This window comes from Homo sapiens, chromosome 10, assembly GCF_000001405.40.
Source record: "Homo sapiens chromosome 10, GRCh38.p14 Primary Assembly".
Classification (NCBI taxonomy): Eukaryota; Metazoa; Chordata; class Mammalia; order Primates; family Hominidae; genus Homo; species Homo sapiens.
In genome coordinates, this window is record NC_000010.11 from 47,347,947 (window position 1) to 47,364,948 (window position 17,002).

General features: G+C 52.7%; 1 protein-coding gene across 1 annotated transcript; it reads left to right on the forward strand.

Annotated features, from left to right (window-relative positions):
* Positions 417-9,935, forward strand: RBP3 (retinol binding protein 3). The gene is made up of 4 exons (NM_002900.3): positions 417-3,592; positions 5,379-5,569; positions 7,430-7,572; positions 9,156-9,935. The coding sequence occupies exons 1-4, from the start codon at positions 539-541 to the stop codon at positions 9,509-9,511; spliced, it is 3,744 nt and encodes a 1,247-aa protein (NP_002891.1). The 5' UTR covers positions 417-538; the 3' UTR covers positions 9,512-9,935.

Sequence of the window (17,002 nt, forward strand, 5' to 3'; positions counted from 1 at the left end):
ATGAGTGCTTCCTACTTACTGGGTACTGGGAAGAAGTGCTTTACACATATTTTCTCATTTAATCTACACAATAAGTAATTAAGACATTTCCCTGAGGCCACGGGAGAGACAGTGGCAGAACAGTTCTCCAAGGAGGACTTGCAAGTTAATAACTGGACTTTGCAAGGCTCTGGTGGAAACTGTCAGCTTGTAAAGGATGGAGCACAGTGTCTGGCATGTAGCAGGAACTAAAATAATGGCAGTGATTAATGTTATGATATGCAGACACAACACAGCAAGATAAGATGCAATGTACCTTCTGGGTCAAACCACCCTGGCCACTCCTCCCCGATACCCAGGGTTGATGTGCTTGAATTAGACAGGATTAAAGGCTTACTGGAGCTGGAAGCCTTGCCCCAACTCAGGAGTTTAGCCCCAGACCTTCTGTCCACCAGCTGAGAAGGACAAGGGCGGAAGGCAGCTGCACAGAGCAGGGCCACGGCCTTGCACACAGTCCAGGGAGCTTTTGTGCAGGAGCCAGGCCTCCCCCTGGGTCCCCATGATGAGAGAATGGGTTCTGCTCATGTCCGTGCTGCTCTGTGGCCTGGCTGGCCCCACACACCTGTTCCAGCCAAGCCTGGTGCTGGACATGGCCAAGGTCCTCTTGGATAACTACTGCTTCCCGGAGAACCTGCTGGGCATGCAGGAAGCCATCCAGCAGGCCATCAAGAGCCATGAGATTCTGAGCATCTCAGACCCGCAGACGCTGGCCAGTGTGCTGACAGCCGGGGTGCAGAGCTCCCTGAACGATCCTCGCCTGGTCATCTCCTATGAGCCCAGCACCCCCGAGCCTCCCCCACAAGTCCCAGCACTCACCAGCCTCTCAGAAGAGGAACTGCTTGCCTGGCTGCAAAGGGGCCTCCGCCATGAGGTTCTGGAGGGTAATGTGGGCTACCTGCGGGTGGACAGCGTCCCGGGCCAGGAGGTGCTGAGCATGATGGGGGAGTTCCTGGTGGCCCACGTGTGGGGGAATCTCATGGGCACCTCCGCCTTAGTGCTGGATCTCCGGCACTGCACAGGAGGCCAGGTCTCTGGCATTCCCTACATCATCTCCTACCTGCACCCAGGGAACACCATCCTGCACGTGGACACTATCTACAACCGCCCCTCCAACACCACCACGGAGATCTGGACCTTGCCCCAGGTCCTGGGAGAAAGGTACGGTGCCGACAAGGATGTGGTGGTCCTCACCAGCAGCCAGACCAGGGGCGTGGCCGAGGACATCGCGCACATCCTTAAGCAGATGCGCAGGGCCATCGTGGTGGGCGAGCGGACTGGGGGAGGGGCCCTGGACCTCCGGAAGCTGAGGATAGGCGAGTCTGACTTCTTCTTCACGGTGCCCGTGTCCAGGTCCCTGGGGCCCCTTGGTGGAGGCAGCCAGACGTGGGAGGGCAGCGGGGTGCTGCCCTGTGTGGGGACTCCGGCCGAGCAGGCCCTGGAGAAAGCCCTGGCCATCCTCACTCTGCGCAGCGCCCTTCCAGGGGTAGTCCACTGCCTCCAGGAGGTCCTGAAGGACTACTACACGCTGGTGGACCGTGTGCCCACCCTGCTGCAGCACTTGGCCAGCATGGACTTCTCCACGGTGGTCTCCGAGGAAGATCTGGTCACCAAGCTCAATGCCGGCCTGCAGGCTGCGTCTGAGGATCCCAGGCTCCTGGTGCGAGCCATCGGGCCCACAGAAACTCCTTCTTGGCCCGCGCCCGACGCTGCAGCCGAAGACTCACCAGGGGTGGCCCCAGAGTTGCCTGAGGACGAGGCTATCCGGCAAGCACTGGTGGACTCTGTGTTCCAGGTGTCGGTGCTGCCAGGCAATGTGGGCTACCTGCGCTTCGATAGTTTTGCTGACGCCTCCGTCCTGGGTGTGTTGGCCCCATATGTCCTGCGCCAGGTGTGGGAGCCGCTACAGGACACGGAGCACCTCATCATGGACCTGCGCCACAACCCTGGAGGGCCATCCTCTGCTGTGCCCCTGCTCCTGTCCTACTTCCAGGGCCCTGAGGCCGGCCCCGTGCACCTCTTCACCACCTATGATCGCCGCACCAACATCACGCAGGAGCACTTCAGCCACATGGAGCTCCCGGGCCCACGCTACAGCACCCAACGTGGGGTGTATCTGCTCACCAGCCACCGCACCGCCACGGCCGCGGAGGAGTTCGCCTTCCTTATGCAGTCGCTGGGCTGGGCCACACTGGTAGGTGAGATCACCGCGGGCAACCTGCTGCACACCCGCACGGTGCCGCTGCTGGACACACCCGAAGGCAGCCTCGCGCTCACCGTGCCGGTCCTCACCTTCATCGACAATCACGGCGAGGCCTGGCTGGGTGGTGGAGTGGTGCCCGATGCCATCGTGCTGGCCGAGGAGGCCCTGGACAAAGCCCAGGAAGTGCTGGAGTTCCACCAAAGCCTGGGGGCCTTGGTGGAGGGCACAGGGCACCTGCTGGAGGCCCACTATGCTCGGCCAGAGGTCGTGGGGCAGACCAGTGCCCTCCTGCGGGCCAAGCTGGCCCAGGGCGCCTACCGCACAGCTGTGGACTTGGAGTCTCTGGCCTCTCAGCTCACAGCAGACCTCCAGGAGGTGTCTGGGGACCACCGCTTGCTAGTGTTCCACAGCCCTGGCGAGCTGGTGGTAGAGGAAGCACCCCCACCACCCCCTGCTGTCCCCTCTCCAGAGGAGCTCACCTACCTTATTGAGGCCCTGTTCAAGACAGAGGTGCTGCCCGGCCAGCTGGGCTACCTGCGTTTTGACGCCATGGCTGAACTGGAGACAGTGAAGGCCGTGGGGCCACAGCTGGTGCGGCTGGTATGGCAACAGCTGGTGGACACGGCTGCGCTGGTGATCGACCTGCGCTACAACCCTGGCAGCTACTCCACGGCCATCCCGCTGCTCTGCTCCTACTTCTTTGAGGCAGAGCCCCGCCAGCACCTGTATTCTGTCTTTGACAGGGCCACCTCAAAAGTCACGGAGGTGTGGACCTTGCCCCAGGTCGCCGGCCAGCGCTACGGCTCACACAAGGACCTCTACATCCTGATGAGCCACACCAGTGGCTCTGCGGCCGAGGCCTTTGCACACACCATGCAGGACCTGCAGCGGGCCACGGTCATTGGGGAGCCCACGGCCGGAGGCGCACTCTCTGTGGGCATCTACCAGGTGGGCAGCAGCCCCTTATATGCATCCATGCCCACCCAGATGGCCATGAGTGCCACCACAGGCAAGGCCTGGGACCTGGCTGGTGTGGAGCCCGACATCACTGTGCCCATGAGCGAAGCCCTTTCCATAGCCCAGGACATAGTGGCTCTGCGTGCCAAGGTGCCCACGGTGCTGCAGACGGCCGGGAAGCTGGTGGCTGATAACTATGCCTCTGCCGAGCTGGGGGCCAAGATGGCCACCAAACTGAGCGGTCTGCAGAGCCGCTACTCCAGGGTGACCTCAGAAGTGGCCCTAGCCGAGATCCTGGGGGCTGACCTGCAGATGCTCTCCGGAGACCCACACCTGAAGGCAGCCCATATCCCTGAGAATGCCAAGGACCGCATTCCTGGAATTGTGCCCATGCAGGTGAGACCCAAGAGAGACCTGGCTGAACCCAGTCCCGGGAGTGAGTTGACCCATTGTCCGCACATGCAGGGCTCTGTGCACAGTGCGTGACAATGGCTTTTAGATTTGTTCTCACGTTTAAGTTTTGACCGGTCAAGTCCTTTCCTCTTTCTCAACCTGTTCCATCCACTCTCTGTGACCCTGGGGTTGCTGAACACCTCTGTAGAACATTCATATTAGGTTGGTGCAAAAGTACTTTCAATGGCAAAACCCGCAATTACTTTTGCACCCACCTCACAGGAAGCCAGTTTGAAAGCCAACCAATACTCACAGGAAGCCAGTTCGGAAGCTCCTGGGATAGAAGGCATTTCAGCCTTGGCTGGGTGGAAGGTGAGTGTTGGCAGGGCTTCTCATTGTCAGTGCTAGGGAAGAGGCCAACACCTGTCAGAGGTGGCCAATGGACTTCACCAAGTGCCCCACGCTGGCCGAGAGCTCCACCTAGGCAGCACTCACACCTCCACACTGTTCTACCTGTGGTCTGCTGCATCGTCACAATTGGGCAGGGCAGCATTTGCCATGGGATCCCTTGCAAGGAGGGTCTGAGACCAGGGCTTGGGTGCAGGCGCTTTGTCTGGGAGGCGGTTACTGAAGCAGGCATGAAGGAGGGAGCAGGGAGAGTGGGTTGGGAAGCTGACAGGCAGGTGCCTCAAAGCTGTTCTGCTGAAGCCAGGACCCTGACGAGTGCAGGGATGCTCCCAGGCATAGCCCTCTGCAGGCAGGGCCCAGTGGTTCCTGTCCCGCATTGGCCAAGAGTTGCCCTGAGACATGCCTCAGGGTGGGGCAGGCTCCCTCTTCTTGGAGAAGGCCTGAGCTACGGGTGGAAAGGCAGGGCTGTGCTATAGGAGAGCCTGTCAGTGGGGTCGGGTGCAGCTGAAAGCAGAGGGGGCTGAGAGTGCCAAAAGCATCTACTACAGAATTGTTATCCCCATTTTCCGCAACTGAGGCCCGGAGAGGAGCAGAGGGGAGTGGCCTGAGGCCAGAGAGCTGTGACTGAGGGCAGGGCAGGGCCTGGAGGGCAGTGTCTCTGTCAATGAAGTCTCCTTGCCTGTCAATCTCACCAAGACCTGCCTCCCTCCAGCAGCCTTAGAGAGGGAGGAGGAGGTGCATCCACGTGCGAGTAGCCTGTGCTAGGCTTGCAGAATCCCCAGTTTCCAAATCAACATCTCCTTCCTTTCCAGTATAGCCAAGGTTCACGATTTGGAGTCAGATGTGGATTCAGATTCTGGCTCCACCACTTACTGACTGTGTGACCTGAGACTAGTTACTTAATCTCTCTGTGCTTCAGTTTTTCCATGGAAAAGATGGGGATCGTGTTATCTCCTGTACAGGTGGCTGTGAGGATGATGATAAGCTCTACAAAGTGCTTAGTACCGGGCCAGGTGCCTGGTAAAGGTAACTAACATCTTCCAATCCTGCCCCAGTGGAGCAGCTTAGAGACATAGGAAGTATCTGGTAAGGTTGGAGAGGTCAGAGGGGAGTCCATTCCTGGGCCTTCTAGCTCAGGACACCAGGGCATGTGGGTGGCAGACAGGAGCATCCTCTGCAAGGAGGCTGCCCATAGATCACACATGTCCCAGTGGCATGTCACATCCAGACATGCCACTGGGAAAGTCCCTGGTGTCTACTAATTCCTTCAGAAATGTTAGTTCCTGTCCCATGCCCTTAATATTTCCCATGGCGCCTGCTTTCCTGGGCTCTAAAACTGGCTGCTCCTCCTGACACTGAGTAGGACCTCCAACTCTTACAGATCCCTTCCCCTGAAGTATTTGAAGAGCTGATCAAGTTTTCCTTCCACACTAACGTGCTTGAGGACAACATTGGCTACTTGAGGTTTGACATGTTTGGGGACGGTGAGCTGCTCACCCAGGTCTCCAGGCTGCTGGTGGAGCACATCTGGAAGAAGATCATGCACACGGATGCCATGATCATCGACATGAGGTCAGTGGCCAGGGGTCAGTGCTTCCTAGCCAGGACGCAGGGCTGCCAGGGGACAGTCAAAGCTATGGGCCACAGCAGGGAAGAAAAGGAACCCTGTGACACAGCAGAGGACCTGAGGGGGGCCAGGCCTCCTGCCTATCAGGGCTTCGGCCAGCTAGCCCAGCAGATCTGCTGTCATTGCAGGTGGGGCCCAGCACTGGTAGTTTTTGCAAGCTTCTCCAGTGATTCCAATGTGCATTCCAGATTGAGAATTACCCCAGATTTGCCTGGTCATAGGATTCAGTGGGGAGGAGAGGAAGGAGATGTTAAAAACACTGATTCCTGGGCCCCACTCCCCTCTTACTGACTCAGAAGCTCCAGGGGACAGGCCCGATAATCTCTATTTGACAGGCATCCCAGGTGATTCTGATGGTCAGTGGTGTGTGAGACAGCCAGGCCCCCCACCTGGGAGTGTGCCTCACATCATACAAAATCAACACATGACAACCCTGGTCATATGAATCGTACAGGCAGAATTTGGAAATCACACAGGGAAAATTTAGAAGTTAATCACTATTGTTAACAAAAGAATTCTTTGCATCACCAAATGATTGTCAGAAGGATGTCTTCAGCTAGCCACCTCCCCTCTGTTTCTGTAAAAATGTGCCTCATATGTCATGAGTTTACCTCATGGACCAGGGGTAGGAGGTGGATGAGTACCCTCAGGCAGTGGCCAGACCTGGCATCCCATGACTCTGGGGTCCATTGGTGGACATGCCCCAGCACCCTCCCTGGGCAGGTTGCCTTCCTCAGACGGGACCCTTCCATGCTCCCGTGTTGTCTGAAAGAAGTGGCAGGGGGTGGCAGACCAGAAGCATTCACCCAGCTCCAGTTCTCTAGCCCTCAGCGCTCACTCACATGGTTCTTAGTGGTCACTAGGTGGCTCTCGGTCCTGCACCCACTGCTTCTCCTCCCTGGGAGATAAAACATTAGCCCTGGCTCCAGTTCTGTGTGTGTTCACAGCCTGAGCTTGAGGCTCCTGGGGTCTCTCTGATCATTTTATTCTTTAGAAGTTCTGTTGAGCACCCAAATGACACTCATGCTAAGTCTCTTTCTTCTGAATATGCCATTTACACTTTTTAAAGAGGAGATGGCCCCAGCCTGCAAGTGCACTTTGCTTAAAGACCCTCCCACCCCTGAGGTTTGTTTGGAGGTTCAGACACTGACATCACAGGCCCCGAACCCAGCCAGGCCATCCCAGGCCATCAGTTGGACGAGGCTCCTTAACACATCACTAGCCCCAGTGGGGAGACAGGGGCCCAACGAGGTCACACAGTGGGACAAATCTAAATGGCCTGGGAGAAATACAGGCTCCCCTGCTCCCAATGCAGCTCCACAAGCCTGAATATTTCAATACACTAAGTGCCCTGTTAAGACACCTGAACTAAGACAGCTGGTAGGTGTCATAAGATTGTCACAGAATGCAACGGGAAAAACAATGTTTCCCAAAATGTGTTCCACTCATAGGAAGATATGGGTGCAGGGGAGCAGTCCATGGTCAATAAATGGGGGAAATTTATCAACAAGTTTCTGACTGCAGGACTTGTCAGGGCCTTTAATATATTAACATGTATTAATTACATAGCAGAAGGAAAGGATAACATATTTGATCACTAAGTTTCTTGTTCTAAAGAGACTAGTACTCTTGGAAATACTCTGGAAAATGCCAACCCATGGAATTCTAAAGGAGGAAGAGGCACTAGACTGAGGCTGCCAAGAATTAGAACCCTCCATGGGACAAAGATCCTGGCCTCCCCGAGGGGCACACAGGGCCTCACTGTGAGCTCAGCCCCTGAACAGGCTCTGCTTCCCATCCTTCAGGTTCAACATCGGTGGCCCCACATCCTCCATTCCCATCTTGTGCTCCTACTTCTTTGATGAAGGCCCTCCAGTTCTGCTGGACAAGATCTACAGCCGGCCTGATGACTCTGTCAGTGAACTCTGGACACACGCCCAGGTTGTAGGTACGTGGAGAAGCTTTCTCCTTTCTGCTGTCATTCTAGAAGCTTCTGGGAAACCAGGGAAAGACAGCTTGGGTGTAGGTAAAAGTCATAGTAACCAGAATGTAAGGCCCTGTCCTAGTCCAGGCACTAGATGTGCATGATCTCGAATCCCTGAAAAGCATGTATCACTATGCCCGTTTTCTAGAGGAAAAAAAAGGGGGTGTTGACTAGGTCAAATATCTTTTCTAGGGTCATGCAGCTAATAAGTGAAACCCAAAATGTGAATATTAGTTTGTCTAATACCAAAATTTCCCCCAGGCTTAGCACCATAATCACCAGCCTGCAGGACAAATGCAGAATTTGAAGGATTCTCCCCGCCCCTCACCAACCCCAGTGGGCATTGCCAGTGCTCACAGTACTTGAGCTCTCAAGCCACAGTGCCACAAACTTGCCTGGAAAGGTCATGATGCTGATCGGGCTTCTGTTCCCCGCCCTGGGCCCAGAGCAGTGGCTATAGGAGCAAAGGCAGGCCCTGAGCTTTACAGAACCATAACTCTCAAAGCCCCATTCCAGGGTGGATGGCCTCCATCTATCTTCCCTGCCCAGTGTGTAAGACCAAGGAACTTGTGCTCCTACCCAACAAGAAAGGACTGGAGAGACCGATGGGGGTGTGCCTGTGACCAGAGAAACACCCCACCATTTTCATGTCCATGCTTCTGTAATACACAGGCATTTTGCTGTAGCTCCTAGGACATACGTTCAATAATATTACAAGTGTAAATGCAAATCAGAACCAGGTGAATTCTAAATTCAAATAGATGTTCAAGACTGGAAGTTAAAGATAGACTCAATTCTGCAGATAATGAGGCCCCAAAACCGCAAGGTCCAATATGGGAGCCACAAGCCACCTGCGGCCACCAAGCATTTGAAATGTGGCTCTCCCAAGTTGAGATGTGCTGGAAGTGTGATGTGCTGGAAGTGTAATGTGCATACCAGATTTTGAAGACATTATGAAAAGAAAACCTCATTAATAATTTTATTTGATTACATTTTGAAAAGAATGTATTTTGGATACATTGGCTTAAACAAAACATGATTAAAATTAACACCATGGGTTTCTTTTTGCTTGCTTAACATGGCTACTAGGGAACCTAAAATGACATCTATGGCCAGCATTCTGGCTCACGTTGCATTCCTGTTGGACAGTGCTGTCCTGGAGAGTTGTTCTTATACATCACAAATTGGGCTTTTCTGAGTCCAAAGTGAAAAGGAAGTCAGGTCGGTTTAGGTGTTCTCATTATTCATGAAGAGAGAGGATGCTCCTTTCTCAGGAGAGTCAAGCCTTTCCTATCACTTGGCATAAAAAGGCCTCGTTGGGAGTTGTCAAGCACTGAAATCCTCGTGATTGGGCATGCATTCTTGTCCCCATTTTACGGATGCAGAAATCAAGGCTCAGAGAAGTCAAGTGGCTCACAAGTGGACACAAGGACACAGACCTAAACCCCCGGGCCTCCTCCATCACTGCAGGCCCAGGCAGGATAGAGAAGACAGGTGCTCCAGGGTCCTGACATGACCCCCATCCTGAAGGGCCTTATGTCTTCCAGGTGAACGCTATGGCTCCAAGAAGAGCATGGTCATTCTGACCAGCAGTGTGACGGCCGGCACCGCGGAGGAGTTCACCTATATCATGAAGAGGCTGGGCCGGGCCCTGGTCATTGGGGAGGTGACCAGTGGGGGCTGCCAGCCACCACAGACCTACCACGTGGATGACACCAACCTCTACCTCACTATCCCCACGGCCCGTTCTGTGGGGGCCTCGGATGGCAGCTCCTGGGAAGGGGTGGGGGTGACACCCCATGTGGTTGTCCCTGCAGAAGAGGCTCTCGCCAGGGCCAAGGAGATGCTCCAGCACAACCAGCTGAGGGTGAAGCGGAGCCCAGGCCTGCAGGACCACCTGTAGGGAAGGGCCCCATAGGCAGAGCCCCAGGGCAGACAGAACCTCTGGGACACACACCAAGGGCACTCCTGCAGGTGGCCCGGCCTGAGGTTCCCAGGAGCAGCAAAGGGGCCTGCTGAGCTCTGGTTAGGTTACAGCTGGAGGTGTGTATATATACACACACACACATGTATATACACATATATATGTGTATGTATATATATGTATATATATATGGCTTTCCAATAACCACCTAAATTTTAACAAAGGTTCCTTCTAAGTGGTAGAACTTGGGGTGGTATTTTTACCTTCCTTCTTCATACTTTGCTCTTTTTCTTAAATACTCATTAATGTGCATATATCATTATTTTCAGATGCAGCTATCATTATTCCAAAATACAAAATAAAGAAGATAAAATAAATTATATACCCGAGCCATTAACCACAATTTAGTGATCACTAGTGGTTGTTAAATCTCTTCTTTTCATGAGTTCTCCATTCACATTATTTAGATCTTCTGGATCTGCCCTGCTGACCTCTATGGACAGCTGATTTTATTTAAGATGTGGTGCAAGATGCTGTGGGGTCAGCAGGTGGCAAAGATCTTGTGGATCTTAAATAGGGAAAGGGCTGGTGCGGCCCTTCTGCTGGTGATGTACATACACTGGCTGTGTCTCTTCTGAGCCTCATGCCGGCTGCATAGCTGGCCACTCTCATCTTCTACCCAGGAGCCAGCTGAGACACAGACAAACTCCGCAGCTCACCCAAGGTCACACATCCAGCATGGTGGACCTGTGTCCTCCTTTGGGCCACCCAGCATTTGCAGCACCTTTGGATGATCAGAGAATCACTGCCCATAGGAATCAGTAGGAAACAGTGATGTCAGCCTTGCCTGGGTGGGAAACCAGCCCAGCCACTTCCCCAGCTGAGTGGTTCTGGGCAATTTGTTTCACTTCTTTGGGCCTCAGTTTGTTCACCTGTTCAATGGGAGAAATAATACTACACTTGGAGTTGTGAGAATGAAGTGAGTTAATCTAGTGTCCAGCCAATGTTAGCTGTCATAATTTCTCCACCACAAAGCTGAACACTCTGGAAGCCCCACTTTTCCAGCCCTTCTGGCAGTAGGGCATGGGCATGTGATCCTGCCTTGGTCAACCAGAAGCTCCTGTGCAAGATGTTTAATCTGGAGCAAGTGGCCAGGGAGCCTGGGCAGCGGCCATCTGCCAGAAGCCTAGTGTACAGGGACAGCACAGCCATGCCCTGTGCTTAGCAGGGACAGCAGCAGCACCCTCAACAGGTGCTTCCTCGACTTCCTGGTGTGACTTTGGCTGTGGTCCTAGTGGAGTGACCCATTGTCCCAACCCACTGCTCAGCCAGGTCCCCCAGCCTGCCCATCTAGGACTGGGCACCATCCGGGCTCCCTCCTGAAATCCCTGTCTGCTTCCATCCACCAAAGACTTCATTTTTCTGTAATGAACAGCACAGTCTGGTGCAGCTGGTTAAAGGGTAGGTGAGATCTGAACCCATAGCTGTACAGTTCCAAAGATCCTTCTGTTTCCACCACATCATGAAGACACCCTGGGCCTGATCTGGAAAGGGGGTTTGAGATAGAGAGGAGCGAGAGTCCTCTGCGTAGCAAAGAACAGGCTCAGCCTTCCTAAATGCAAGCTTTCTTGCATTGTTACCTGCTTGCAGGCACAAGACTGGAGAAAAAGGAAAAGGAAAACAAAATCCCATCAGGTCTCTTTTCTGGTGGGACAGCCAGATGGCCGATAGCTGCCTAGAAGTTCAGATGAGCCCTGGGCCCCTTCAACTCTCTATGCCCTGGTCTGAGCTCATGGCCTGCACCCTGCCCAACCCTACTTACCTCCAACTCACATCTTGCACACAGCCACACCTCCTTCCAGACACTCAGACTCCCTCAACTCTGTCCCCCCACTGCTCACCCAGTGTCCACCAATGATCAGGACCCAAGATAAGTTAATACCTGAGTTAATGTCACTCTGCTCTGCACCCAGCCTGCCATCGTCTTTCCCTTCCTTGTCTTGGGGTCCCAGCTTTGTGCTTAAATCCCTGACACAGCTTCCTGCCCCATCTCTGTGGCCTGACCTGCAGCTAGGGGTTCATCTTCACTGGAAGGGCATTGTTAGGTGATGCAGACACTTCTGGAAGGTCATATTTATCTGTCCCTCTTGCAGATGTGGTGAAGAGGTAAGTCACCCAGTACCAAGCAGGGGTTCATTTGACTGGCATCCAGGGGTGCTGGAGTGCCCCCAGGAGTCAGCTCAGCCCTGTTGTGACAGCATGTATAATAAATGGATTATAAAGGCCCTGGCAGGGACTCAAAGCTGGCTCTCTGGGGCAAGACAGGCCTAGAAGCTTCCCTATTGTTCACTATCAAAGCCCAGGCCACACTCTGGGCAGCCAAGCCAGAGTCATTGGGTAGAGAAAAGAACTCAGGGTATACTGGGCCCATCTCTCCCTGCCTTTCTTTCCCCTCCAGGGCAGATCCTGAGGATGCCAGGCCAGCCACAGGGCAAGTGGTGGAAACAGAGCTGTCTCAGACCTGGTCCCTGGCGCCAGAGAAGACTTGGGGGACTGGGTGTTAGCAGCAGGGGCAGGGCATGGGCACAGTCCACTCATGGGCATCTTTGCAGTCTGACCAGGAACTGACAGCACAGAGCTGGGGGGCATGGTGAGGGTGGTGACTCTGAGTGCTGGGGGCTCATTTCCAGATGCTCTCAGTCAGCAACAAGCCATGCCTCTGCCAGGCTCTGTAAGGAGAGGAAGGAAAAGGTGATCTTCACCTCCAAGTTCTTGCTGGAGACGTGGTGACCCCCATCCAGGGAAGGAGGGGCCAGGGACTATTGCAGTGATATGCTTCATACATAGGGAATGCAAAAGGACCACATGGGGACCCTCGCGGGCCTCCTGCTTTCAGGCTGGGCTGAAGCAATGAGGAAGGAGCTTCCTCTTCCTGTGTCCCTGTGTCTGCCCCGCACAGGCCTACACAGGAGAGGGCCCTGACTGTGCACCAGAGGGCCCTGGTTACCCACACAGCTGTGATGCGGTGAAACGATGTGACTCAGAAAGAAAAGCAATGCAACCGGTTCACACTCCAGGCCAGGAAACCCACCTCCAAGGTCCCTGCCTGGGGGCACCCACCTCCCATCTCCTGGTTCCTATGGGATTTAGCTGCCACCTGGCCTAGGTACCCTCTCTGCTTTGCTGACCAGGGCTGCCAGCACTAAAAATAGCCTCCTAATCCAAGCAGCTTAGAATAGCAATGGGATCAGACGATAGTGGCTTCCTCCGTCTTGCCCCAGGAAAACACGAGATGGCAAGATGAATGGAAAGAAAGCGTTAGAGAACCCCTCCCATTCTCCCTGCAGGCACTGCCTCCCCAACCCCCTTTCAAAACCGGTTTCTGGGCCGGGCGCAGTGGCTCAGGCCTGTAATCCCAGTACTTTGGTAGGCTGAGGCGAGCAGATCACCTGAGGTCAGGAGTTCAAGACCAGCCTGGCCAACATGGTGAAATCCCATCTCTACAAAAATACAAAAATGAACTGGGCATAATGGCGGGTGCCTGTAATTCCAGCTACTCGGAAGGCTGAGGCGAGAGAATCACTTGAACCTGGGAGGCTGAGGTTGCAGTGAGCTGAGATCGAGCACTCAGGCTTGGGCAACAGAGCAAGACTCCATCTCCAAAACCAGAACAAAACAAACAAACAAAACGGTTTCTGAAACTTCTTCTCTCCTAGGAAGTGTCACAACCCAACCCATGTTGGAGAATGGCTTATCTTTCAAATAAAAGGTTTATCCTATGAGGTTCTGATCTTGCTATGCCATCTGTAGACCTACCACATGACTTCTAAAAACACAACAAAATTAGGCAAATGACAAGGGTGTGTGATTCCCTCTCTGAAGGGAAGTGGCCTGCAGGAAGGCCTGCTGCCTCCAGATGGCGCCATCACTTCCCAAGGGAATGAGGAGTGCAAGCCCGGCCTGGGGGCTACTCTGGCCGACTTTCACCCCTGATAAGGGCTCTCTCTCCGTGCTCACAGGAACAGGGTGGTACGGCTGAGGTTAGAAGCGCCAGGCCCAGCACCGGCCTGTTCCAAAGCTGGGAGCATAACAGAGTAAGGGGTCACCGGCTGGTGGCGACCCTGCACCATCACCACCACTGACATGCTTCCATGAATCTATGTCACTTTGGCCATCAGTGTTTGCAAAACTATTGTGTCAGTTGACAACAAATTTCATATAAAGACCTGAACTCTGGCCTTTCTCGAGGCCTGCATCCAGCCTGGCTGTGCAGTCTTCACCCAGGCATTGAGCTCCCCACCATTGCCACTTACAGGCAGCTCCATCCACTCATTAGCCTACTTCAATAGACATTTGAGCTTAGGATCCCTGGCCTAGAGATGCAGGAATTGGCAAGAAGTTGAATTCTAGGAGCCCACCATTGTAGTGGTTTTACTCCTTTCCCAGGTAAAAACAGAAAGAAAACTTGACATTTGTTAAAATCGAGAACCAAAATGAATCTGAATTCAGAATGTCTTAGTTTAGCCTCATTAGCATATTTTGAGGACTTTTATAAATCTGAATTGAATGGCTGCCGCTGGGAGATAATTTATTAAGATAGAATTTGCCATGTTTCCAGCTACTGTGGATATTTTTCCTCCTCTGTTCCATAAGGTCAGCCAAGACTTTCTGCTCATCGACTCAGTGTCTTCGTGTCACATGCCTACCAACAGCTTTGCCAGAAAGCCACCAAGGCCCTAGATCCTAGGAGAGTGGAGAACAGAAGCAAAGCTGGCCAGAACAGCAAGGGGACACCCTGGGGCACTAAGCGACAGGGTACAATCTTGAGGTGGGGCATTGAGGAGCTTTTGTGAGCTTGAGAGACAGGTTAGGAATTCAATAGTGACAGGGTGAGTATCTTACCAGGCCCACAGGATGGGGTGCTGAGCGATTCAATTAGACATAGAGAATTTAAGGAATGTGGTAATTCTTGCCCAGGATTGTAAAATTAATACCTGCTGATGTGATACATTGTGGCAACATCTCATGCCAACTCTTAACTGGCATATAGAAGGTGACTGCCTAGTCCATCTGGGCTGCTATAACAAAATACCATAAACCGGATGACTTATTAACAACAGAAATTTATCGCTGACAGTTCTAGAGGCTCGGAAGTTCCAGATCAAGGTGCCAGCAGCTTTGGTGTTTGGTGCCATCTTCCTAGTTGGGAGATGGCAACTTTCAGCTGCATTCTCACATGGTGGAAGCAGGGAACTAGGTCTCTGCGGTTTATTTTAATTTTTTAGAAACTGGGTCTCACTGTGTTGCCCAGGCTGGAATGCAGTAGCACAATCATAGCTCACTGCAGCCTTAAACTCCTGAGTTGAAGTAACTCCCCCACCCACCCCACCCATCTCAGCCTCCTGAGTAGCTGGGACTATAGGCACACACACCACCATATACAGCTAATTCTTGTATTTTTTGTAGAGGGGGTGTCTCACTATGTTGCCCAGGCTGGTCTCAAATGCCTGTCCTTGAGCAATCTTCCCACCTCAGCCCCGCAAAGTGCTGGGATTACAGGCATGAGCCACTGCAGCCAGCCACTGGGGTTTCTTTCTTTTTTTTTTTTCCCGAGACGGAGTCTTCCTCTGTCACCCAGGCTGGAGTGCAGTGGTGCAATCTTGGCTCACTGTAAACTCCGCTTCCTGGGTTCAAGCAATTCTCCTGCCTCAGCCTCCCAAGTAGCTAGGATTACAGGTGCCCACCACCACACCCAGCTAATTTTGTGTGTGTGTGTATTTTTACTAAAGATGGGGTTTCACCATATTGGCCAGCCTGGTCTCAAACTCCTGACCTCATAATCTGCCCGCCTCGGCCTCCCAAAGTGCTGGGATTACAGGCATGAGCCGCTGCACCCAGCCTCTTTTGTAAGGGCACGAATTCCAACCTCCCAAAAGCCCCACCTCCTAATACCATTACCTCAGGGGTTAGGATTTTACATAAGTTTTGGGAGACACAAACATTCAGACCATAGAAGTGGTAGAGAGAGCTTGAGCAAAACCATGATTTAACATGTCTACTCTCCAGGAGATACAGGAGGGCAGAAATGGAGAAGGGCTAAGAGAGGATTTGACTCCCAAAGAGACTCTGGGAACCCAGCCTGGTGATAATTGGGACTGCAATATTAACAAGCTGTAAACCCATCACTTCCACGAATCACTTTTGAGTTTGTCCATTTAAATGGCAGGCTGTGAGCAATTTGGATCTACATCCATTTTTACCAAAATTAACTCCAACTTAAAAATCAGAGTTGGGGGAAGATAGTGTGTTGTTTTTCATAACTTCAAATTTTCCTAAATGCCTATCCTGCTTGGGAATGGTGTAACTGGTCAAGGTTACTAATAATTACATGTGAGGCCGTTCTAATCACATGCAGTGTAAACTGTCGTTTGGCCTAGCTGAGGTTCCTCATGGATTGTGGATGGGGCAAGGTCCAGACCTCTCAGTGGTTCTAAACTTGACCTCACCACCACTTGCCCTGCAACGCTGAGCACATCAGCTCATGTCTGTGGACCTCAAAGTCCAATGTTGTACAGGGAGGGTGTGGTCTAGAAATCTAAAGTCCCTTCAGTTCTAAGTGTCTATCATGTCTTGGCACATTTCTGCCTTTCAAAGAGATTTCACAGAAATTACAAACCAATCAATTAAGCCAGAGAAGGACAATTGTGCACAGCATTTGATAGATCCTAAAACCCTCCCGAGAAGCTGATTTGAGTTGTGGCAATTGCCAGGCCAGAACCAGGCATCTCACTCATTCATTCATTCGACAAATGTCTGTTGAACACCTACTATGTGGCTACATTTCTCTAGATGCCAGCAATGCTGCAGGTAAAAAAAACCCACCAAAAATCCCTCACAGAGCTTACATTCTAGTGATAGGAGACACGGTAAGCAAGACAAATCAGTCAAAGACTTAGTATGCAAGATAGTGAAAGTGCTGGAGAAGGACGATAGGAAAGTGTGTGTGTTTACGAGTAGCAGGTGTGAATTGAAATTTGAGACAGGGAGCCTACACCTGCTGCTGTCCCAGTTCCTGAATCATCCAACCACACTGGGCTGGGCAGACAAGTGGCAGGCTAAAAAGGACATGAGCTCAATCTGGGGTCCTGGAGTCTTATTCTTGCACTGATGCTCCTGAGCCCATGGTCTTAGGAAAGTTCTTGACCTCTTGGAGTTTAATGTCATCTGCAGCAGAGTGGGAATTATTAATAACAATCTGCCTCCTGGCTGCTGCGTGTCAAGTGCATAGTGTGGGGCCTCATGCCGAGACCTTGAGTTGCCCTTTCCTGCCTCACCTGAGACAGCACACGGGGAGGCTCCCATAGCTTCAGCTGCCTTCTGTGCTCAGCCTCTCCATGTGTAAATGACACCCCCACACAGCACCTAAAGGGGCCAGCAAGGCTGAGCTTTCCTTGTCTTGTCTTAGTGAGC